At 48.3% G+C, this 25,153-nt stretch overlaps 1 protein-coding gene across 3 annotated transcripts, besides 1 other annotated feature; it reads left to right on the forward strand.

Annotated features, from left to right (window-relative positions):
* Window positions 1,655–2,568: an enhancer, noted in NCBI's record as "H3K4me1 hESC enhancer chr4:25656923-25657836 (GRCh37/hg19 assembly coordinates)". NCBI's record gives its function as "activates a minimal SCP1, AML or CMV promoter by ChIP-STARR-seq in primed H9 embryonic stem cells {active_cell/tissue: H9 hESC(primed)}" and the evidence as "EXISTENCE:reporter gene assay evidence [ECO:0000049][PMID:30033119]".
* SLC34A2 (solute carrier family 34 member 2) lies at window positions 2,205–25,102 on the forward strand. 3 transcript variants are annotated; one of them, NM_006424.3, is made up of 13 exons: window positions 2,205–2,244; window positions 8,852–8,966; window positions 9,059–9,196; window positions 10,556–10,684; window positions 12,482–12,625; window positions 14,234–14,345; window positions 16,001–16,196; window positions 17,092–17,187; window positions 17,955–18,075; window positions 19,441–19,608; window positions 20,650–20,766; window positions 20,859–20,983; window positions 22,489–25,102. In NM_006424.3, the coding sequence occupies exons 2-13, from the start codon at window positions 8,855–8,857 to the stop codon at window positions 23,101–23,103; spliced, it is 2,073 nt and encodes a 690-aa protein (NP_006415.3). In that variant the 5' UTR covers window positions 2,205–2,244; window positions 8,852–8,854; the 3' UTR covers window positions 23,104–25,102. The 3 variants fall into 3 exon arrangements, with proteins under 3 accessions (NP_006415.3, NP_001171469.2, NP_001171470.2); NM_001177998.2 differs by having other exon boundaries at window positions 9,062–9,196; NM_001177999.2 differs by lacking the exon at window positions 2,205–2,244 and adding an exon at window positions 2,818–2,918 and having other exon boundaries at window positions 9,062–9,196.

Genomic DNA, 25,153 nt, shown 5'->3' on the forward strand with positions numbered 1-25,153 from the left:
GTATCTCAGATGGAATAACGATAGGAAAATGTTCTTCAGCAAATTGTACTCTCCTAAAGGGAGAGATTATAGAGTGATGAACACAGACACGCCATCTACCTTTCCTCCAGACTTTGTAAAAAAAAATTATATAAATTACAATCCCAAACTAGAATCAGATACCATCCCTGATCTACTACCAAGATCTATACACATTAAGAGAACAATGTTCGGGATTGAACCTGTTTTGCCTTTTTAATCGGAACACAAAAGGGATACCTTTTTCTTTCTCCAAGTTTTTGAAATTTTGGTCTCCCTCCTACATTCACTCCTTGTTGAAAGTAATGGAAAGGCAATTAGGTCTGTGTCCCAAATGAAAGCCCACAGTCAGGAGGGGATTCTCATTGAGGTGACTGTCCTGTTAAGACCTGCTCCTGTGAACCCCCAAGCACAGGGCAGAGCAGGACATGAACTAAGAGCCAGGCTTTGCCGAATCCGGGTCGAGTTCACCGACAGCAGTGTGTGCAGCACGCTTCCTCCTCTGCACCCTGGCAGTAGAGCCCTTCCTCATTGTAAAGCCAAGTGGTGTCTGCAGTCCGCCTTGCCCAGGGCTGGAGGCAGAGCTGAGCTTGGTGAACAGGTGCCAGGGGATTCCTGTCATCAGTGGACTATGCTTTAGAAGCTGCTTGTTGCAAAGGTACTGGTTGATCATTGTCTGAGAGTTGGATCTGAAGGCCAACACCCACTAGCAAAACCATCATCCCTGTAATAACAGCAACCCAAGCAGATTTGATTTCTCCAGTGAAGGTTCTAGATGAGTCTAATCAAGGCTTCCCACCCATCTTCTCCCAACACCAGAGTTTCCCTGTGAAAACGATCATGGTTAACTCGCACTGAATACTATTTATGTGCCAAGTACCATTCCACATTCTTTACATATTTTAGCTCACTTTACTCCAACGGGGACCATTATTCCCAGTTTGCACATAAGCAAATGGAGCCAGGGAAAGCAAGGGGCAGAACAGGGAACTGATTTCCCGGAGTTTCGGCCCAGAGTCAGTGTGCTTAGCCACCGCCAACACCAGCCCCAGAGCTCTAGGCTCCTGGAAGTCGTGCTCCCGAGTCCTTCCCCTTGCACAGTGGAGAGAACTCGATGTTGGAATGAAACCAGCTAATTCCAGTAGGGTGCTTCCGCTGTTGTGAGGAGCTGGGCAACTAGTAAGCTCACTGAGCCTCACTGTGCTCCACTATAAAACCAGGAGAGTGCGCAGCAGAGGAGAGGGTCTGGGTTTCAGAATAAGAAGCAGGTTTTCTTCCTGCTCAGCAAATCCTGGGTAATTGTATCATATCCCCTAACCCCTTAAACCTCAGCTAGAGAGGGCGCCAGTCTTAGCCCCAGGGAAGGCTTTCGTGTGCACATTGGAGACAAAGCCTGCCCAGCAGTGCCCGGCACAGAACTGGGGAGCTGTTGGGATAAGCATGGGGGTGGACTCTCCCTGGGACAGATCCTATCTCACAGCAGTTTGGAGAACTGTTGTATACACACGCAGGTGACACGAGGCAGAGCAGGATGTGAAACGAGCGCAGTGGTTTGCCAAACCCGCAGCAGGCTTAGGACGGAGTGGTGAGAACAGCCCCCTTCCTTTTCCTCAGCTTGACGGTCCCAGCCTTTCCCATTGCGGACCTAGAGCCCAGACTCCCAGGGCAGAAAGCGCCCCACAGACTGATAAAGGTGAACAATCCAGGCTTTGTTTCCAAGGGCTTTATCCCTGACTTTCCAACTGGCTTTTATCTGTGTCTTCACGTCTCTGACCTCTTGAGCCTCACAGGAGCTAGACTAGAAGGTTCAAGTTCTTGAGGAGAAGGCAGGGGCGGGAGAGCCCCACTTGCGGGAATCTCGTGCGGACCGAGTCGGGGCGGGAGAGGGCGCGCACCAGCCAGGCTAGGGCGCGCGGGGCGCCGAGGGGCGCGGGGCCGTTTGGGGCCGTTCGGGCCAGTTCGCGCGGCGGGGCCCGTCGGAGCTTTTCTCTCGGCAGCCTGGCTGGCCGCGCGTCTTCTCCGCGCAGCGGGCGAAGTCGCGATGGGTTCATTAAGGCGGCAGGTAGGCAGTGCCCCGGCGGCGGCTGCGGCAGGCGGTCCTGGAATGTGCGAGGGGCGTGATGACAGCGGCCAGCCTCTTTGCGCAACACCTTCGCCATATATACCCGGGGCGCTGCGCTCCACCTGGCCGCCGCCTCCAGCCCAGCACCTGCGGAGGGAGCGCTGGTGAGTACCGCCGCCGGGGCAGGGGCGCTTCCTCGCTCTTTCAAGGACTTTGATTCACTTAATTCTTGCAAATACCTCTCGGTGCTGACTTCAAGGAACTTGGCTGGCTTTGGGCCGCAGAAGTGAAAAACACAAAGCTCTCCACAATGTTCAAGTTGTTTTCTTCTTAATGTTACGGTTATTGCTTTTATTACAGCTTTTGCTGCTACACTCTTACGATCGACAGTGTTATTAATCAGCCACACTTGTGGATTCTAAAATGATCACTGTTTTGAGAGTCGTGGTTTGGAAGAGGAAAGGCCCAGGGGATAGAAATCTCCACCTAGGAATCAGGATAGCTAGGCTCTTTGTGGCTGGGTCACCAACTAGCCATGTGACAACGCTAGTCCCTGTGAGCCCCTGGGCTGCCGTCTTCCATTCTTTATAAGAAGGGGAATGCGACATCTCAGGACCATGAAAATTCTAGGTTTGTGGTGGCTGCCTGGTGATGTGACACTGCCCCCCACCCAAGTGTGACTTCCACGTGGTACAGTGCTTGTTTGCAGTTATTTAAGGTGCCTAGGAGACAGTCTTAGTTTGTTTCTATTAGGGCCCGTGGCCATCAGCGAAGGGTCCGTCCTTCAGCCGTCTTGGGGAGCAAAGCCCGCAATTTATGTTTTCCAAGCCACAAATGGGTGAGCAGGCTGGGGAGATAACTTACAAGGAGATGTGCACAGGAGTGGTTGGGTTCGGGGACTGCGCATCCTCAGGCCAGAAAGTTGGGGGCTGCATGGCATGGAGTTAGTTCAGGTTCCCTGCAACGGTGCCTGCCACCGGTGGCTCGCACTGCGCTGAAGAGAGTTGGAATCTCGTTTTCTTTGAGGAGGTCCCTTTTTCAAACATGTTGATTTCATGGAAGCAGCTTGTGGATTTCATCACTCGAGTCCCCTCTTCCTGTTTGGGTGCCCCAGGGGGTTTCTGTGTTAGCCCTGATCGCTCTGGGCCTTGTCGTTCTTTCCTTTTTCCTTCTTCCCTTGTGTGCTGGCAGTTCTTTAACTTGTCCTGGGTTGGGTATTCTTGGAAAACTGTGCTTGTAGGAGTGGCCGTTGTTTCAGATTGTTAAAGAAAAACAAAAATAAAAAAGATTGCCTCTTTTGTCCCATGCCCGCTGATCATGATCTTCTCTGCTTTTGTAATTTGGGGAATGGGTGATAAGAAAGGCGTGCTTTGTAAAAGGTTTGGATGCTAAACAAATTGCCCCATCCAAAACTCCCCAAATTGCTCAACTGTCTCAATGAAGCAAGTCCCCTGTGGTATGAGGATGGGCTTCTGATTGTTGCTGTTAGACACAAAGGGGACAAAAAAATAGCCCGAATTCAATGCAATGAGGAAAACAGCCTCACAGAATCAGAGTGCTTTGGAATAAACTGGGCTTTAGTAACCAGTTTCAGGCATCTTCCACTCCTCCATCCTCACCCACACCCCCACTTCCATTCTGGGGACCGCAGGGAGCAATCAGGACATCCCAGGGAATTTATTCATCTCAGTGAATTTTTAAAATGCAAAGGTACAAAAAGAGGGCTATAAAAAGATTGCGGTATTTTTAAGATGTTTATATTTACAAATTTAACTGCTTTAACCTCCCCCCCCAATACAATGCAGCACAACTGATATAGTTACAAGTTATTTACAGGATTTATTTTAAGATATCATAAATACAAATTGATAGTGCATGGTGAGGGTGTGGTTTGGTGATATGGCCCAAGTTTAAAGTTTATTAGTGTGCCACATCAAAAATGTAAACTCAAGTTATCTATCAATGTGAGGCCCAGGCCAATTGCTTCCTTGACTCCTCTCATCACTACCACCATTGTGTCCTTGAAGAGATTATTATTAGCAGTAATGTAGGGACAGGGTCTCACTATGTTGTCTAAGCTGGTCTCAAACTCACAGGTTCAAGGGACTCTCCCACTTTGGCCTCCCAAAGTGCTGGGATTATAGGTGTGAGCCACCACCCTTAGCCTATAGGGGTGATTATTTTTCCTTGTGATGGCTGTAAGGGAAGCAGAGGAAAAGGAGACGTCACCCTCTTGGGAATTTTTGAAGCACAGAGTCATTCTTTCAAAGTACAAGAAAGTTTTCCTGGGCATCCCGAGAACACTGGCCTGCATGAGGTTGAAATTATCTCTGCAGTGTTGTGGTGCCTATGTGATTTGAAGCCATTAACCTCTCTGTGGCTCAGTTTTTCCCTCTATAGAATGAGGATACTGTTCATTTTAAAGGAGACTCTAAGTTTACATAGATACATGAAATGCTGTGAGTAAATTTGTGCACCAATTTGCAAGTGCCAGGCACAAAGTCTTTAATAAACACTACTTGGCTACCATGTGCCCAGCACTGTCCTATGTGCTGGGGATACAATGGCCATACTCTAGTCCCTGTGCTTGTGAAGGCTGCCATTCTGATGGGAGACTGTGTGTCCATGTTCTGGTTCCTCACAGGACCACTGCCCTGGGCTTCCTCCTCTCCCCATTTCTTCAGATGGCCTTGACTGCTGCTCTGGGCACAAGGGGCCCAGGAACAGGTCTTGGTTGGAGAAGCCCAAACAATGCGAATGTAGGGGTTGGGTGACTGCCAGGTACCCTACATTCCCCTGCTTCCCAAGTCTGAGCCAAGTCAAGAAAGTTCCTCTCCTGGGTCTTCAAGAAAGAATAAGAGCTCTTTCTGGCAGTGGGTGCCCATGTGGTGCAGGAAGTGGAGCCAAGAGGGTGAGGCACACAGGCAACTCGGTTATAGAGGCCAGTGTGGCAGCGGGGGAGCCCCTCCCTGGGCTTTAGTAAAAAGCTTCCAAATGATGACTTCTCCCTTCCTCTGCTGCTTCTGGCAGGTGGCAAGAATGTGCTGGAGTGAGGCCTTGGGAAGGCTGGGAGAGAACAAGGCAGTGGTTGCGCCAGGGCTATGGGGGTAGGAGAAAGGCTTAGAGGGGCTCAGAGCTCCAGGGTACATTCTCTGCCTGCACCATTTAATACCCACCCCCACCCACCCACCCCACCCCCACCACCCTCCCCTCCTGCTCATCCATTGCAACATTCTTGGGCGGGCATTTCCAGCATCTGAATGATCATGTGGGAGTGACCTGCAGACATGCCAATCTAGCCAGCTATCCGAAAACACTCAGAGCCCTCAATGTGCCTAGACCTAAGGCCCCTGGGTGCCCTGGTGCTTTGAGGGCTGGAGAATTTCTCCTCCCTTTGCCCCTGGCTGTGAGATCTGTGGAAAAGCTTCTGGCTTTGGAGCCAGCAGTCTTGGGTTCATATCCTGACACCAGCTCCAGGTAGTTGGAGGCAAGCTTCTTTGTTTCTCTGTGCCTCAGTTTCTTTGTCTGTACACTGAGAAGAAAAACTCCTTCCTTGGTAGATTTAATGAGGTCACAAACTGTATAGGACACTCCTCTGCCACAAAACAAACATTAGCATCTTTCTCTCACAGGCTTTGGATTCATTTATTCAAATATTAACTGAGATCCACTACCATGCTGAGCATTGGAGATGAAGAGCTTATAGTCTAGGGTACACACAGTGGAAATGAGGCCATTTACTGTTCATGACACAGTGCATTTCCACGTAATAAACACTCTTGTTTATTGTTCATGACACAGTGCATTTCCACATTGTGTCATGAACAATAAACAAGAGTTCCGAGTGTTTACTCTGCCAGGCACCATGCTCTAGCCTCACCTACACTTATTAACCAATTAGTCCTCATAACAGCTCAGTAAGCAAGATGGTATTGTCCCCATTTTTACAATGATGAAGCTGAAGCTCAGAGTGGCTCAGGGTTGCATATAGTGAGGGGCAGGCCTCTGCAGAGCCAGCCCTCCCTCACTGTGATTCGCCTCTCTCCAGGTATCACTGAGCCATCTTACCTTTGTGAGCTTAGAGGTTGAGTTGCATCTTTTAAAATAATTTTCTTCTAAAATTTAAAAAATCACCCACAGTCTCACCACTCCCTTTTACCTCCAGAGAACATTTCTGGATCTTGTCTGCCTTGTTGAGATGATGCTGTGAATGGGAAAAAGAAGTGCTTTAGATGTGAAGTTTATCTAAAGCATTTCCCTATGGTTTTACTGATTCAGTATAACCTCTTTAATGGCATGCTCTTACAATGCATGGACATACCATAGTTAGAAGGAGTAATTTCTCTTTTTTCATTTTTTCACACTGTAAATGATAGAGCAGCAAATATCTTTTTGGTCTACATCACATTCATTCTATCATAAATATGCCCGGCAGGGCTCAAGACCTTAAAGATGAAGTGATGGACAAGACAAAGTCCACTTTTTGGTAGGGTTTGCAGTCTGGTAAGCAGGAAATAGGTTGACGAAGAAAGGAGTCAGGTGGACTCAGGCTCTAAGAAGCCCTCTTGGAAGAGGTGATCAGAGTAAGTTAGGTATTTCTGAATTTCTGAGAGGAAATATTCCTAGCTTCCTGATTCCTAGAAGTGAAATGACTGGGTCACAGACGTGTGATGAACATAAGGCACTTTGGACAGTTTGCTAACTTTTCCAGAGCTTCTAGCAGTGTTCAACTCATAACATCTTCTCCAGCATAGCATAATGAACTTAAATTCTTTTTGCTACTTTGATAGTTGTCACTGTTTTAGTTTGAATATATGGGATTGCTTCTGTTTTTTTGAGACGGAGTTTCACTCTTTTTGCCCAGGCTGGGGTGCAATGATGTGATCTCAGCTCACTGCAACCTCCACCTCCCAGATTCAAGTGATTCTCCTGCCTCAGCCTCCCGAGTAGCTGGAATTACAGGTGCATGCCACCACGCCTGGCTAATTTTGTATTTTTAGTAGAGACGGGGTTTCACCATGTTGTCCAGGCTGGTCTCTAACTCCTGACCTCAGATGATCCACCTGCCTCGGCTTCCCAAAGTGTTGGGTTTACAGGCATGAGCCACTGTGCCCGGCCTGGATTGCTTCTTTTTTAATAGGCATTTTAGCCATTTGTTCCTTTTCTGTGAATTGCCTTTCTCCAATCTTTTGGACTGCTTTGTCTAATGGACAAGGACTAATTGTCTAATGTCAAAGAACAAGGACTGCAAGGACTGGAATGTGAGGTGTGTCAAGTACCATGTAACTGAGAAAGGCCTTGTGAAGAAAATAGATTGTAAGAAGGTCTTTTCTGAAGGCTGAAAAGAATGTGGTTCTAACAAAGGATGATTAATCCAGACAGCATGACATAGTAATAATTGCTGCTATTTATTGGATGCCTCCTCAATGCCAGTCACTTTCTAGACTTTTAATTTCACTATTAGTCTCATAACCCTGCAAGAACTGTTCCATTTTATAGATGGAGAAACTGACACTTTATGCTCAGAGGCATAAAGGGACTTGCCTAAATACACACTCATTAATAGGTGGCACTGCTGGATTTTAAAACCAGGTCCATCACTCTTTTCACAGAAGGCCTGGGTGGTAGGTAAAACACGCAGAAGGTATATGAACACCTGCATATACTTATATATTTTGAGACAGAGTTTTGCTCTGTATCCCCCAGGCTGGAATACAGTGGCATGATCTCAGTTCACTACAACCTCCGCCTCCCAGGTTCAAGCAATTCTCATGCCTCAGCCTCCTAAGTAGCTGGGATTACAGGCACCCACCACCATCCCCTGCTAATTTTTGTATTTTTAGTAGAGACAGGGTTTTGACACGTTGCCCAGGCTGGTCTCGAACTTCTGACCTCAGGTGACCCACCCACCTTGGCCTCCTAAGGTGTTGGAGTTACAGGCCTGAGCCACCTCGCCTGGCCCCTGCATATATATTCACATACACACTAAGTTGTATAAATCTGTTAAATTCCACTGGATAAGGTTTTGCATAGATTTGCAGTGCACTTGTCTTGATATAAGAAGTAGATGGGGTTCCATTGAAGGGTTGTGAGGATTTGGCATGCTATGAGACAACAAAGATGAATGGGCTTGCACCCTGCCTTTTTCTTTTTTTTTTTTTTTGAGAAGGAGTTTCACTTTTGTCACCCAGGCTGGAGTGCAATGGCACAATCTCAGCTCACTGCAACCTCTGCCTCCCAGGTTCAAGCGATTCTCCTGTCTCAGCCTCCCGAGTAGCTGGGACTATAGGCGTGTGCCACCACGCCGGCTAATTTTTATATTTTTAGTAGAGATGGGGTTTCACCATGTTGTCAAGGCTGGTCTCAAACTCCTGACCTCAGGTGATCCACCTGTCTTGGCCTCCCAAAGTGCTGGGATTACAGGCGTGAGCCACGGTGCCCGTTGCACCCTGCTTTTGACTGAAGGAGAGAGTCAAGACAAAAACAAGTTTACGAGATTAAAGGTGGTACATGCAGCTAACTCAACACTGTACGAGGTAGTTTGCTTTAGCGACTGGGTGAGTGTTTGAAGGGGAACCACAGAGGAAATATGGTGCTTAATATGCCACACTTAGGGGGCATAAGTGTGAAATCTTTCCCTTCCTTTTACTGCCGCCTCCGGCCGAAACCCCCACCCAGTTGATGCTTTGCAACCAATGGTTCTTCCTCTTATAGCATCTCGGTGTGCCTCCTTTCCATGACTGCTGCTTTAAGCTGTTTTCTCATCCACAGACCATGGCTCCCTGGCCTGAATTGGGAGATGCCCAGCCCAACCCCGATAAGTACCTCGAAGGGGCCGCAGGTCAGCAGCCCACTGCCCCTGATAAAAGCAAAGAGACCAACAAAAGTAAGTGTCGCTCGTTTGTCTGCAGATCGGCCTTTGTGAGGACCCCAGGAGACTCAGGTCTGATTCCTCATTACCCCTTTTGCTTGTTTCAGCAGATAACACTGAGGCACCTGTAACCAAGATTGAACTTCTGCCGTCCTACTCCACGGCTACACTGATAGATGAGCCCACTGAGGTGGATGACCCCTGGAACCTACCCACTCTTCAGGACTCGGGGATCAAGTGGTCAGGTAAAAGTGAGGCCAGCTGAGACATTCAGGAGGGAAACTTCCTGTGGTTCACGGTGTCATCATCCTCCTGTCCCTCCCCCTTTTCATTGTTCTGATTCCCTTGAAGCAAGGGTCCTGGCTAGGGATGTCACCCTCTCATCTTTTTTTTTTTAGACGGAGTCTTGCTCTGTCACCCAGGCTGGAGTGCAGTGGTGCGATATTGGCTCACTGCAAGCTCTGCCCCGTGGGTTCAAGCAGTTATCCTGCCTCAGCCTCCTGAGTAGCTGGGATTACAGGCTAATTTTTGTATTTTTAATAGAGATGGGGTTTCACCATGTTGGCCAGGCTGGTCTCGAACTCCTGACCTCGTGATCCACCCTCCTCGACCTTCCAAAGTGCTGAGATTACAGGCATGAGCCACAGCACCCGGCCACCCTCCCATCTTTGAGGTAGAGTCAAAGCATGTTGGAGTAATTGGGGGTCATTCATTCAACAAATGTGCCAGGCACTGTGGTTATAGCAAAGATGGACATTGTCTGGCTCCTTATAATTCGCTGTGGGTGATGAGGTTCCAGGTACTGCTTTGGAGATGCTGTGGATACAGTGATGAACAGAAAAGGCCCCTCTTCTCAGAGAGCTTTCAGAGGGGTCCCCTCACCAAAATGTGGGCATATTTCTAGTAAAAGAAAATATGCAGCCAGACAGCTGGATGCAAGCAATCACTGTTTCATTTCCAAATGTATGTAGGGCAGAAGGTCTGTCTGTGAACTAGACAGCAAGGAGGAAAAAGGAGATTGGGGTGTGGGGTGGGGAGGAGAGGTAGGAAGGAAAGAGCTGGGAGGGGGAAGATGAGAACCATTTTAAAAGCCAGTGGAGTAAACAGCACTTAAGGATGTAGCATCCCAGGATGTATGATGCCCCAAGCCCTCCATAAATTGAGGCTGATTGCTGCTGTGCAGCTGCATTCTAGAAAATACTCTGTGCTGTTTGGAACGTGACAGCCATTATCTCCGACCCTGCACTTAGCAGGTGGCTAGTGCTGTCAACTGCCTCACTCAGTGACACTGTGGCTCAGCTGAGCATGGAGCCTGGTTTTTCTGTCGCAGACCACATTGAACCCCTCCTCCCAAACGCAAATCCTTTAGAGGCACTTTACCAGGGGTTTCAGCTAAATGGACCACAGCGGTAACTGCTTTGAAAGCTGCAGCGATGGCTGCTTCCCATCTGTAAGGCTGGCTAGACATAAGAACTTAACGGCTGCCAGGCTGGGAAGGGAGGGGAGGTCGGGGGAGCTCTGAGCTCATTGCCAAACTTCTCAGGGTTTCCAACACTAAAAGTTTCATGCCTTTCTCTCTCTCCCCCCATCCCACCCCCCTGCAGAGAGAGACACCAAAGGGAAGATTCTCTGTTTCTTCCAAGGGATTGGGAGATTGATTTTACTTCTCGGATTTCTCTACTTTTTCGTGTGCTCCCTGGATATTCTTAGTAGCGCCTTCCAGCTGGTTGGAGGTAAGAATGAAAGGGTGAGAGGTCTGCGGGTGAGGGGCATTATCTTGAAATGTGGTTCCGAGAGTAAAACTCAGCAAGCCCTCTCCAGCTGCAGCCTCCTGGAGTGTTTTAGGACTGGAACCGACCTCAGATCATTTATGAAGTCTATGCTTTCCGTTATAGAAGAGAAAACTGAGGCCTATACAAAGGGCTATGACTTGGCCCAGGTGGCTTAGGCCAGGAGCTGGGGCTAGACTATTCCAAGCTATCCGCCAGTTGAGTTTGTCCACAAACCCCAGGCAGGAAGTTGTCTGACATACAGACTTAGCTGAGGAATTCCTATATCCTCCACACCAGAGAGAATTCTGGAATGAGAAAGAGTGCCCTTTCAAATATGGGCCCTTGCTGGGGGAAGGACAGGGCCCCTTCTCTGGGCTGGAGGAATCTGCATCCATTGTACTTACCTTCACAGCCCTTAGGGCTGCGTGTGCCCATGCAGTGTGAGAACCCAGGAGTGAAGTCACCATGTGCTTGGTTCCCTTTGTACCTCAATGGTGATGTCAGAAACAAACAAGCAGCACTCCGTCTACTGGGTGCAGGCATTTTCGGGGGCCCTCTATCAAACATTCTTTCCCAGAGCCCTCCCATTTACGGAGAGATCATGAACCAGCCCTGAGACTCACAGCCTGTGATTAGCAGAGTAAGATTCAGTCTCAGATCTGGGTGACACAAAGGACCATGGATTTCTGCAACCCTTGGTGCCTTTCTTGGGAACCCATCTGTGTGACTTGGGAGAGTTGGGGAGGTGGGCATTCATGGGAGAGCATGAGGGGCAAACACTTCCTGGACATTGCTTTTTTTTTTTTTTTTTTTTGAGACAGAGTTTCACTCTTGTTGCCCGGGCTGGAGTGCATTGGCGTGATCTCAGCTCACCGCGACCTCCACCTCCCGGCTTCAAGCGATTCTTCTGCCTCAGCCTCCTGAGTAGCTGGGATTACAGGCATGCACCACCATGCCTGGCTAATTTTTGTATTTTTAGTAGAGACGGGGTTTCTCCGTGTTGGTCAGGCTGGTCTGCAACTACTGACCTCAGTTGTTCCGCCCGTCCTCCGCCTCCCGAAGTGCTGGGATTACAGGTGTGAGCCACCGTGCCTGGCCTCCTGAACATTGCTTCTGGGCTCCCTGGTCCATGGGAGCATCAGCTAGGGGCTTTGCTGTCTGGTTATCTCAGACAAATCACCTGCATCCTCTGGGCTTCCACCTTCTTTATACAATGGACTTGGGAATGCATTGATGGTCTCAGGTACACTCTTGAGAATAACTCTCCCAGCATTCAATTACAGGCTGGTGCTAGGGCTAAGGGTGGATAGAGAGATCTACTCTTGGAGGATAAATCTGAATTGGGTATACACCCCAGAGACATCCAGGAGGCTCATTGGAACCCACTGGTCCCAGTATGGAGTTGAGGCTGGGTTCCTGAGCACAGAAGGGCTTGCTGACTGAGGAGTGTTTGAAGAGTGGGAGGATGCAGGGTGAAGGAACAAAAGTAACCAGGGGCTCACAGTGGGTCGGGAACCAGGGCAGAGAGACAGAGACAGGAGGCACGTGTGGGCAGCTAGTAGATTTCCTGCCTTATCGGGGCAGCACTGGGAAGAGGCATGGGGAAGCAAGATTCCTTGGGTGCCTGCAGCGATGGAGGCTGGACTCTGCAACCCACAGCCAGCTGGCCTTGGATGGAGACTTCTGTTTACTCAGTGCCCACCTAATCCCCCTCGATCACGTTGTGATTGTTTTTGTTTGTTTGTTTGTTTTTCCCAGGAAAAATGGCAGGACAGTTCTTCAGCAACAGCTCTATTATGTCCAACCCTTTGTTGGGGCTGGTGATCGGGGTGCTGGTGACCGTCTTGGTGCAGAGCTCCAGCACCTCAACGTCCATCGTTGTCAGCATGGTGTCCTCTTCATGTGAGTCGGGGCACCCATGAGCCCACCTGCATTCCAGACACTCTCCTGTCTATCTGAGGGTGGGAAGGACGGGGGAGGAATTCACTCTGAATATGTCCAGGCCTTGCCACCATTGTCTTGGTATCTTGCCCCAGCTACAATGTGTTTCCCTCTTGATCCAAGGCAACTTCCTGTTTCCATTTCGATGGCAGGATCTGGAAATAGACCCTGCTGCTGGAGTTCTCAGCTCTGAATTCTCTAGTACTGTACTTTCCAGACCTGTAGCCACTAGCCACATGTGGCAGTTTAATTTTGTTGAACCTTAATTGATTTAAAATTAAAATATAACATTCAGTTCCTCAGTTGTACTAGTTACATTTCAAGTGTTAAAGAGCCACATGTGGCTGGCTGGCAGCTACCCTATTGAGAAGTAGAGACATAGAACATTTCCTTCACTGCAGAAAGTTAGTTCTCTGGGACAGGGCCACTCTCAGTGCTAAGAAGAAAGACAACTTAATCACATCACAAATTGCTCTGGGACAACCGAGCTTGGGAGATGGCACACTAAACTTGTACCTGTCTGATAATTGCTGCAGCTACGTTGGACAGACCCTCTGAGGGGGACCAGTTTGAACTGATTATTATTATTTTTTTTTCTATTTTCTTTTTAAATAGAGACTTGGGTCTCACTGTGTTGCCCAGGCTGGTCTCAAACTTCTGGGCTCAAGTGATCCTCCCAAAATGCTGGGATTACAGGCCTGAGCCACAGCCCCTGACCAGAACTATTTTTCTTCCCAAGCTAGCATCTTAGCCAAAATTAACTAGAATGTTTCTCGTCCAGTTAGAAAAAGGTATTACACTTTCAAAATATTTTACTTGTTTATATCAAAAAAGGTGCAGCAATATGCTGATTTTGTTGGAAAAAGTTACACTGCCTAGAATTAAATGTCTGATATCCAGCACAGAAATGATGCTTCCTGGCTGGGCCTAGTGGCTCACGCCTATAATCCCAGCACTCTGGGAGGCTGAGGTGGGAGGCTCACCTGAGGTTGGGAATCTGAGACCAGCCTGACCAACACGGTGAAACCCCGTCTCTACTAAAAATACAAAAATTAGCTGGATGTGGTGGTGCATGCCTCCAGTCTCAGCTACTCAGGAGGCTGAGGCAAGAGAATCACTTTAACCTGGGAGGTAGAGGTTGCAGTGAGCTGAGATCGAGCCACTGCTCTCCAGCCTGGGAGACAGAGCGAGATCCATCTCAAAAAATAAAAATAAAAAAGAAAAGAAAAAAAACTGATGCTTCCTTAAAGGCGAGCCTGTGTGCCATGCACAACTGACTCAACTGTACATGCAAGCCCTGCACTCATCCACCTAAGTCCTTAATCAGTGGGTGCCTCCTGGTCTCCTTCAGGCTAGCCTTGGATCTGCAATAGGGAGGAAGGAGGAAGCTAGAAAGGCACTTTCTTCAGATTCATAGTGAGGTGCAGAGTGAGGTGCAAAAAAAAAGTTTAAGAATTCACTTGCATAGAGGATAAAAACTACTTCTTTAGAGGATACCAGCATAGGTAACTTTAGCCTGCCTCCAGGCTGCCTTTCTAAGCTTGCTAATGGTACTTTTCCATCCTCTAGTGCTCACTGTTCGGGCTGCCATCCCCATTATCATGGGGGCCAACATTGGAACGTCAATCACCAACACTATTGTTGCGCTCATGCAGGTGGGAGATCGGAGTGAGTTCAGAAGGTAAGAGGCTCAAAACCAGCCTTTGCGACATCAGCTCTATTGTTCTTGGCCACGCTGTTGTAACTGCTTTTAACCAGCCAAAGATGACATGCTTATCAGGTTCATTCCTGGAGTTCCTAGAAGTAACCACAGGGAGGTATGGCTAGGGTTGGATCACATACTCACCAGCTGATTAGACTCAGCTCCCTGATCGGCAGAGCAGGGATAATACTATCTATCACTACTGAGTTGTTGTAGGATTAAATATACAACCCAGCAGGTGAGTGTTCAGAGCACCCAGCACATTGAGTTCACTAAATAAATGCAAACTCTAGCTAGAAACTTAGCCGCTGGGTGGCGGAATTGAAGCAAGGCCAGTTAGAAGAGTAGGATTTATTGGGACTGGGCGTGGTGGCTCATGCCTGTAATCCCAGCACTCTGGGAGGCCCAGGCGGGTGGATCGCCTGAGGTCAGGAGCCTGGCCAACATGGTGAAACCCCATCTCTTCTAAAAATACAAAAATTAGCCGGCCGTGGTTGCCAGCGTCTGTAATCCCAGCTACTCTGGAGGCTGAGGCAGGAGAATCGCTTGAACCCGGGAGGCGGAGGTTGCAGTGAGTCGAGATCGTGCCACTGCACTCCAGCCTGGGTGACAGAGTGAGACTCCATCTAAAAAAAAAAAAAAAAATAAATAAATACTGTTTTGTTTGGTCATAATTATAACTTATTTAAACTTCCACTTTCGGTCAGCTCAACCCATGCCACCTTTTCTTTGTTCTTCACTTACAAGTTAATAAAAAACAAAACCTAGTTTCTGCGTATGCAGAAACTCTGAAACTAGAGCAGGTAGAATGCTGGAAACTCTTTTCTTTCAAAAAGGTTAATGTGAAAATTAAGTGTTTCTTAGCCTCTTCTAGCTAGTTTTTTTTTTTTTTCAGTTTTTTTTTAAAAGGTAAGCTGTTTCATTGAAGACATAAAAATCCAGAACAGAGTTTTTTAAATCTGGAGATAAGATGGAATCGAGGAGGAATCTTTGAACCTCCTCAGATGGATGCAAAATGTTTTAGCCTTGTTTCCCATGGAAACTATTCATGTTTCATCACTTTCAAGAACTTAAAAAAAGTTTAAGAATTCACTTGCATAGAGGTCTTTTTAAGTTAAATTTTTTTATTGATACAAAATATTTTTACACCTTTCTGGGAAACATGTGATATTTTGTTACATTCATAGAATGTGTAGTGATCAAATCAGGGTATTTGAGGTGCCCACCGCTTTGGGGATTTATGATTTCTATGTGTTTGGAACAATTGAAAACTCCAGCATAGAGGGCTTTGGTTGCCTTCATACTGGTCCCCACCTTTCCAAAAGAAGGTAGCCTTCAATATACATGATACAAAAGTGCCCTTGATGCAATTCTTCGAAACAGTGATTGCTGAGCTAATTATTCCAGCCGTAACATGCTTGCTGGCCCGCAGCTTCTTCATCTGGCCAATGGGAATATAGATACCAGCCACTTTGGGGATCGATATGAGAGAACAAAAATGAGATTGTGTACATGTGCACACTTCCATAGGTGACACCTAGCAGAGGGTGGCAGATGATACAGGTAATGACCCACCTCACATGGTGCCCACTTGCTTAGTGACTAATCTGGCTGTCGGGGTTTCCCTCCCATAGAGCTTTTGCAGGAGCCACTGTCCATGACTTCTTCAACTGGCTGTCCGTGTTGGTGCTCTTGCCCGTGGAGGTGGCCACCCATTACCTCGAGATCATAACCCAGCTTATAGTGGAGAGCTTCCACTTCAAGAATGGAGAAGATGCCCCAGATCTTCTGAAAGTCATCACTAAGCCCTTCACAAAGCTCATTGTCCAGGTAACTTAGCTCCTTCAGAGAGAGAAGGAGACTAACTTCCTACCCACAACATCCCCTACCTGAGCTGACAGATATAGAGTGTCTACAACACTATTCTGGGCCTGGCATGGTGGCTCACCCTTGTTTTCCCAGCACTTTGGGAGGCCGAGGCAGGTGGATTGCTTGAGGTCAGGAATCTGAGACCAGCCTGGCCAACATGGCATAACCCTGTCTATACTAAAATGCAAAACATTAGCTGGGCATGGTGGCGTGCACCTGTAGTCCCAGCTATGTGGGGGCTGAGAAAGGAGGATCGCTTGAACCCCGGGAGGTCAAGGCTGCAGTGAGCTGAGAATTGTGCCATTGCACTCCAGCCTGGGTGACAAAGTGAGACTGTTTTTAAAAAATAAATAGATGAATAAACACTACTCTGTAGCTGCCTCTGGAAAAGGCCAAGGGAGGCAGAACTTTTGGGCCACCTGATAGAGTGACTGACCTTGATGGTTACTTTGACTTCCATAACATGCCACCTTTATTGGGGTGGAGGTGCTTCTTAAGACTGGACACTTGAGACCACTTTGTTCCCACTGCTGTCCTCAACACCAGTGGACTTGATAAAGTATGATCTACCCTTTCCTGCCTAGAGTCATCTCAGCCCCTTCTCCCTGGGTCCTTGCTAGGACCTTGTGTTTTCACTCTTACTGGTTTTCTTGGCCATTCAGTCATCCAGAAAATATCTACTGTCTGCTCCCTAGATATCAGTGCCTCTGCAGATAGAGTGAGTCCCACTTTGCCTCTCTGGGGGCTCACAGTCACATTTATCTCCTTAGAGCCCCTCTCACTTCAACCCCCTGGGTTTGTGTCCTAAATCGGTTCTGAGGATATGCTGATGGTTTCCTGTCTACTGTTTCCACAGCTGGATAAAAAAGTTATCAGCCAAATTGCAATGAACGATGAAAAAGCGAAAAACAAGAGTCTTGTCAAGATTTGGTGCAAAACTTTTACCAACAAGGTACGTTTCCAAGAATATTCCCGGGGCGGGGAGTGAACCTTTGCATCTGAACATGAAACTAAATCTTGCCTTCAAGGAAGGTAAATAGAAAGTCAGGGGAAAGAAATATTGGGAGTCCCTGAAAAATCAAAAGTGACCAGTGAATGCCTTTAGAAAACAAGTCCTTGAATGAATGCCAAATGCAGGTAAACAGTAGGACAGACAGACTCCCTTTTGCCCCATCCCAGGGATACATTATTTCTGGTTTGTTATTTCCATGCCTCTTGGAGAAGGCTTAGCTCTGCCTGCCGCTCTGTTCTCATTTTTGGAGAGACTTGTGGAAGTAGTCCAGCACGCCCTACGGGTGTTGGCAGCAAGTGTCCTCTCTCTTACTTTCCAGACTTTTCCAGAGTATTCCCCCTGCTCGGGCCCAGAGCATTCATGCCCTCTGTCAGGAACCTACCCAGGCTGCTTTGCACCTGGGTTGTGGCTTGCCCTTGCTTCTGGGGTGTACATGTATTTTTTTTGTGGGGTGCTAAAGACTGGAGACTAGAATAAACAAAGTAGATGTTTTTAAATGATGAAGGCTGATTTCAGTTGTCCTCAGTTATTCTAAGATTTCTAATAAAGGTGAGAAATAAGTCTTCAAGAGAAAAGAACTGTTCTGTTGGGGCCATACTGCATGCACCATGGGTGGTGTCTGCGCCTGTTCATTCCCACCCCCGCCATTGCCTCCCATTCCCCACTAAAAGCCAGTGTTGTGGGCATTTGTCATGTTTGTCATCCAGACCCAGATTAACGTCACTGTTCCCTCGACTGCTAACTGCACCTCCCCTTCCCTCTGTTGGACGGATGGCATCCAAAACTGGACCATGAAGAATGTGACCTACAAGGAGAACATCGCCAAATGTGAGTGGAGCTCAGTGGATTGGCCACTATGACAGGTGTTGTCTGGGGGTGACCTATTTATCCGTGTGAAGTCCCAGTAAGTGAAGGAAAGGACAGTAGGAGTCACCAAGCACCTGCCCTACATCAAGCAGTGAGCAACATGCTTTCACAGCAGAGGAAACTATGGCTTAGGAACTGAGGTGACAGGCCTGAGGTCCCACAGCAAGGGCAGAACTGGAACTTGAAGTCCATTTCCTTTGCCAGCTCCACACCACCTCAGAAAAGCTCAACAGATTCTAGAGGATTCCCTCTACATGCTTTGTTCAGATTCCTTTAGTCAATAACTCTAGGGGCCAGGCATGGTGTCTCAAGGCTATAATCCCAGCACTTTGGGGAGGCCGAGATGGGCTGGTCACTTGAAGCCAGGAGTTTGAGACCAGCCTGGCCAACATGGTGAAACCCTGTTTCTACTAAAAATAATACAAAAAAAGTAGGCATGGTGGCTCAAGCCTATAATTCCAGCCAAGATTGCACCACTACACTCCAGCCTGGGCAACAGGGAGATAGTCTGTCTCAAAATAAAATAACTTTAGGGAGACGACAACCCGATTTGAAGGAAGATGTGGGACCCACATAGAACAGATGTATTCACTCAATTAGTCCCTACTGTACAGCAGGCCCCATTTCAGGGCACTGGGGCTGTAGCTCTTGAACGGGCAGTGAGCTTGCATGATGCTCTGATTATTAAGAAGCTGTAATGTTTTTTCCAACCCAGCCATCCTTCGTTATTCTAATTACTCCTTACATATACTTTTGTATATCTCTGCTTCTCTCTTCTCACCCTCCCACCACATTAATTCTGAGCACTATATCTTAATACTCTAGGTATGATTACCCCAAAGAATCAAGTTAACTTACCACCTCCCACATTCTAGGCACTATACATTCATTCATATAACCATGTTTTGCTGGGATTATCTGGGGGATGCAGAAGGGGCTTTATAATTAGCAATGCCCCTTACTTTGACTTGCCCATCGAATCCCTCAAAGCATACTTATCATTAGTAAAAAAAAAAAATTAGACCATCGACAGCATGGTCTTTAGAGACAGAACTGGGCTGAGTCTACCCCTGAACAGTTGTGTGATTTTTAAAGCCATCACTTCATCTTCCAGCCTCATGCGATCCCACTGATTATGACATAGTTTCAGTGGTGCCCCTTGCTGCGAAGGAGGCTGAGAAGGGCTGTCTTGATTTGGGGCTGCCATCTGTTAAACTAACAACCAGGAATCTGTTTGTAGGAAAGACAGGATCTGGGGGAATAAATAACAATCTGTAGCCGTGGTGGCTCCATGCCCTCCTGACAAGATTCTTTGTGGTCTTTCAGGCCAGCATATCTTTGTGAATTTCCACCTCCCGGATCTTGCTGTGGGCACCATCTTGCTCATACTCTCCCTGCTGGTCCTCTGTGGTTGCCTGATCATGATTGTCAAGATCCTGGGCTCTGTGCTCAAGGGGCAGGTCGCCACTGTCATCAAGAAGACCATCAACACTGGTAGGTACACTGCCCTCACTTGTAGGCCTCACATGTAGTCACTGCATGGGGTGTGGGGGTCCTTTAGATTCCCATCTAGCAATGGCCTCTGCATGGAGTTTCTCTCTCAGATTGGATCAGCACCAGAAGTGAGGATGTCATTCACCTGGAAATGTTCTTGGCATCCTGGGTGGGGTCTAGGGAGCAGGCCCAAGTTTCCATTGCATCTTGGCAAGGTCCTGAGCAGGAGTTCATATCTAGAGAGCTGTGAGTCAGGCCTTCCTTCTTAGCGGGTTTCCTGTATGCTCAGAGCTTTACTGGCTCTGTCAAGACCCCTTAGAAAAAGGACCCCAGGTGTCTGCCCTCGCCCCCACCTCCCTTCACTCTTGTAAAGGAAATGTGATGCATAAATACATCAGCATCTAGAGGTGGCCAATGAGACTGCTGGCTAAGAGGATTTCCTGCCAAGTAGGGTGTCCTGGCCAATGAGAGCTCGCTAAGCCAATGACATCATCACTTCATGAAAGCTCAGTGAAATATAGCCAAGAAAATTCGCCCCCCACCCCAGATTGTCTTGGGGAACAGAGCAACTCTGGGTGCTTCTGGGAAATGCAGGGCCTGATCCGGTGCTAGTTGGGTGGAGGACTCAGTTGGCAGGCATGTTCCAAGCTGCTACAGTTTCTTGATGCTCTTTAAGGCAGAAATGAAGGTTGAAGGTCAAATGTGGGTGCTGACAGGAGACCAGGGCAGGCGAGGAAGCATGCTCTCAGCACTTTCTGGAAGGAGAGTGGTTACTTGGGTGGGTTCACTCTTTCTAACCTGACCTCCAGGGAATCTGTGTTTTTGTTTTCATAACACTTACCTGTATCCTTGGTTTTTCCATCTGAATATGCGGAGCAAAAGACAATGGGGAATGAAACTGGATTCTAAAACTCTACTCTGTAATCTGAGACCATATATGGGATGATGTACAACCTCACCCCTAAGCCCAGCCCCTACCCCAGGCCACCAGGCCATACCTTCCCCGGAGAGGCCATGACATCTCTTCCTTCTGTCTTCCAGATTTCCCCTTTCCCTTTGCATGGTTGACTGGCTACCTGGCCATCCTCGTCGGGGCAGGCATGACCTTCATCGTACAGAGCAGCTCTGTGTTCACGTCGGCCTTGACCCCCCTGATTGGTGAGTTACACCCTGGCTTCTCCCTCTGGCCACCACTGCCATTTCCTGTCATCCCATGGGGCTGATATGTTTGTGTTTTGTGTTTCCCCCAGGAATCGGCGTGATAACCATTGAGAGGGCTTATCCACTCACGCTGGGCTCCAACATCGGCACCACCACCACCGCCATCCTGGCCGCCTTAGCCAGCCCTGGCAATGCATTGAGGAGTTCACTCCAGGTCAGGACTTGGGGCACGGGGACAGGGGCCCTGGGAGTGGGACCACCCATGGTCTTGCAAACTGGTCTCTAACAAGAGCCAGGCTTTTCTCTGTACTATCCAAAATATGGAACTAATATGTGGAGGGGAAGCCACGGGTAAAGTTTTCAGGACCTTGATATGAGAACAATCAAAACTATCAGTTCTGAGAGAAGCAGTAAGACCCTCATAACTGGTGGTTGTTTCAGCAAAAGTGGGGTGGCCCCTTGATATAGATGTGGAAAAGGTACTTAGGAAGCACAGACACCACCTCCCATCTCCTCACTGCCTCCTATGGGGAACTTTACAATTAGGAGAACTCCTTGGCATGGACCATCTATGTTACTTTGTGCAAGACCTTTGGGATTTGAATTTATTTATTTATTTTTATTTTATTTTTTTGAGACAGAGTCTCGCACTGTAGCCCAGGCTGGAGTGCAGTGATACAATCTCCACTCACTGCAACCTCCACCTCCCAGGTTCAAGTGATTTTCCTGCCTCAGCCTCCCGAGCAGCTGGGATTACAGGCACCTGCCACCACACCTGGCTGATTTTTTGTATTTTTAGTAGAGACGGGGTTTCCCTATGTTGGCCAGGCTGGTCTTGAACTCTGGACCTCATGATGTGCTTGCCTTGGCCTCCCAAAGTGCTGGGATTACAGGCGTGAGCCACTGCACCCAGCCGGGGATTTGAATTCTTATCTCACCATTTACATACTAAGTGACCTTTGGCAAGTGATCTAACCTGAGCGTCAATTCCCTCATCTGAAAGATGGAGGACATAACCCCTATCTCATTAGGATTATTATAAAGATCTGATGAGGCAAAGCCATCTGTGCAACAGAAATAGAAATTCAGGCATCTAATATAAATTAACCGCATATGTCATCCTAAAATTTTTTAGTAGATACATTTTTAAAAGTAGAAACAGGCTGATTCATTCTTCAATAATGTATTTGATCTAAACCATTATCACTTTAATATGTCATCTGTCAAAAATTGAGAGTCTTTGAAATCTGGTGTGTATTTCATACTTAAAGCACATCTCAGTGTGGACATGCGGCTAGTGTATTGGACAGTGCTGGTCCACAGCCTGGGCATGGAAATTGGCACCTTGGGAAAGTGACCAAGCGCCTGGCCTCTGGAGCCAGGCTCCCAGGATGTGAATTTCCACCTCTTCCATCTCCCACCTGTGGGACTTGAGGAGCCTCCATTTTCTCATGTCAAGAAATAATGGTTGCCACTCTGTAGAGTGTTTTTTGAGAATTGAGATAATGCACAGTTGAGTGCTCCTGGCCCTCCCAGACACATAGTAGGTCCTCATGGAATCCAGGTACCCTCTGGGCTGAGCCATAAGGACAAAGAAGGCCTGGAAGGCCCGAGACTGTGCTGCCTGTGATGCCTGCTAGCTTACCTCCCCCTCCTCCTCCCTACTGCCACCCGCATTGGGCAACAGGCCCCTCACCTGTCCAACCTCTTGTGTTGCAGATCGCCCTGTGCCACTTTTTCTTCAACATCTCCGGCATCTTGCTGTGGTACCCGATCCCGTTCACTCGCCTGCCCATCCGCATGGCCAAGGGGCTGGGCAACATCTCTGCCAAGTATCGCTGGTTCGCCGTCTTCTACCTGATCATCTTCTTCTTCCTGATCCCGCTGACGGTGTTTGGCCTCTCGCTGGCCGGCTGGCGGGTGCTGGTTGGTGTCGGGGTTCCCGTCGTCTTCATCATCATCCTGGTACTGTGCCTCCGACTCCTGCAGTCTCGCTGCCCACGCGTCCTGCCGAAGAAACTCCAGAACTGGAACTTCCTGCCGCTGTGGATGCGCTCGCTGAAGCCCTGGGATGCCGTCGTCTCCAAGTTCACCGGCTGCTTCCAGATGCGCTGCTGCTGCTGCTGCCGCGTGTGCTGCCGCGCGTGCTGCTTGCTGTGTGACTGCCCCAAGTGCTGCCGCTGCAGCAAGTGCTGCGAGGACTTGGAGGAGGCGCAGGAGGGGCAGGATGTCCCTGTCAAGGCTCCTGAGACCTTTGATAACATAACCATTAGCAGAGAGGCTCAGGGTGAGGTCCCTGCCTCGGACTCAAAGACCGAATGCACGGCCTTGTAGGGGACGCCCCAGATTGTCAGGGATGGGGGGATGGTCCTTGAGTTTTGCATGCTCTCCTCCCTCCCACTTCTGCACCCTTTCACCACCTCGAGGAGATTTGCTCCCCATTAGCGAATGAAATTGATGCAGTCCTACCTAACTCGATTCCCTTTGGCTTGGTGGTAGGCCTGCAGGGCACTTTTATTCCAACCCCTGGTCACTCAGTAATCTTTTACTCCAGGAAGGCACAGGATGGTACCTAAAGAGAATTAGAGAATGAACCTGGCGGGACGGATGTCTAATCCTGCGCCTAGCTGGGTTGGTCAGTAGAACCTATTTTCAGACTCAAAAACCATCTTCAGAAAGAAAAGGCCCAGGGAAGGAATGTATGAGAGGCTCTCCCAGATGAGGAAGTGTACTCTCTATGACTATCAAGCTCAGGCCTCTCCCTTTTTTTAAACCAAAGTCTGGCAACCAAGAGCAGCAGCTCCATGGCCTCCTTGCCCCAGATCAGCCTGGGTCAGGGGACATAGTGTCATTGTTTGGAAACTGCAGACCACAAGGTGTGGGTCTATCCCACTTCCTAGTGCTCCCCACATTCCCCATCAGGGCTTCCTCACGTGGACAGGTGTGCTAGTCCAGGCAGTTCACTTGCAGTTTCCTTGTCCTCATGCTTCGGGGATGGGAGCCACGCCTGAACTAGAGTTCAGGCTGGATACATGTGCTCACCTGCTGCTCTTGTCTTCCTAAGAGACAGAGAGTGGGGCAGATGGAGGAGAAGAAAGTGAGGAATGAGTAGCATAGCATTCTGCCAAAAGGGCCCCAGATTCTTAATTTAGCAAACTAAGAAGCCCAATTCAAAAGCATTGTGGCTAAAGTCTAACGCTCCTCTCTTGGTCAGATAACAAAAGCCCTCCCTGTTGGATCTTTTGAAATAAAACGTGCAAGTTATCCAGGCTCGTAGCCTGCATGCTGCCACCTTGAATCCCAGGGAGTATCTGCACCTGGAATAGCTCTCCACCCCTCTCTGCCTCCTTACTTTCTGTGCAAGATGACTTCCTGGGTTAACTTCCTTCTTTCCATCCACCCACCCACTGGAATCTCTTTCCAAACATTTTTCCATTTTCCCACAGATGGGCTTTGATTAGCTGTCCTCTCTCCATGCCTGCAAAGCTCCAGATTTTTGGGGAAAGCTGTACCCAACTGGACTGCCCAGTGAACTGGGATCATTAAGTACAGTCGAGCACACGTGTGTGCATGGGTCAAAGGGGTGTGTTCCTTCTCATCCTAGATGCCTTCTCTGTGCCTTCCACAGCCTCCTGCCTGATTACACCACTGCCCCCGCCCCACCCTCAGCCATCCCAATTCTTCCTGGCCAGTGCGCTCCAGCCTTATCTAGGAAAGGAGGAGTGGGTGTAGCCGTGCAGCAAGATTGGGGCCTCCCCCATCCCAGCTTCTCCACCATCCCAGCAAGTCAGGATATCAGACAGTCCTCCCCTGACCCTCCCCCTTGTAGATATCAATTCCCAAACAGAGCCAAATACTCTATATCTATAGTCACAGCCCTGTACAGCATTTTTCATAAGTTATATAGTAAATGGTCTGCATGATTTGTGCTTCTAGTGCTCTCATTTGGAAATGAGGCAGGCTTCTTCTATGAAATGTAAAGAAAGAAACCACTTTGTATATTTTGTAATACCACCTCTGTGGCCATGCCTGCCCCGCCCACTCTGTATATATGTAAGTTAAACCCGGGCAGGGGCTGTGGCCGTCTTTGTACTCTGGTGATTTTTAAAAATTGAATCTTTGTACTTGCATTGATTGTATAATAATTTTGAGACCAGGTCTCGCTGTGTTGCTCAGGCTGGTCTCAAACTCCTGAGATCAAGCAATCCGCCCACCTCAGCCTCCCAAAGTGCTGAGATCACAGGCGTGAGCCACCACCAGGCCTGATTGTAATTTTTTTTTTTTTTTTTTTACTGGTTATGGGAAGGGAGAAATAAAATCATCAAACCCAAAAGGAGTGTGTTGTTTTTAATTACAGGGAAATAGGGACCTCCTTGGATCTATT

Source organism: Homo sapiens, chromosome 4 (assembly GCF_000001405.40).
Source record: "Homo sapiens chromosome 4, GRCh38.p14 Primary Assembly".
Lineage (NCBI taxonomy): Eukaryota > Metazoa > Chordata > Mammalia > Primates > Hominidae > Homo > Homo sapiens.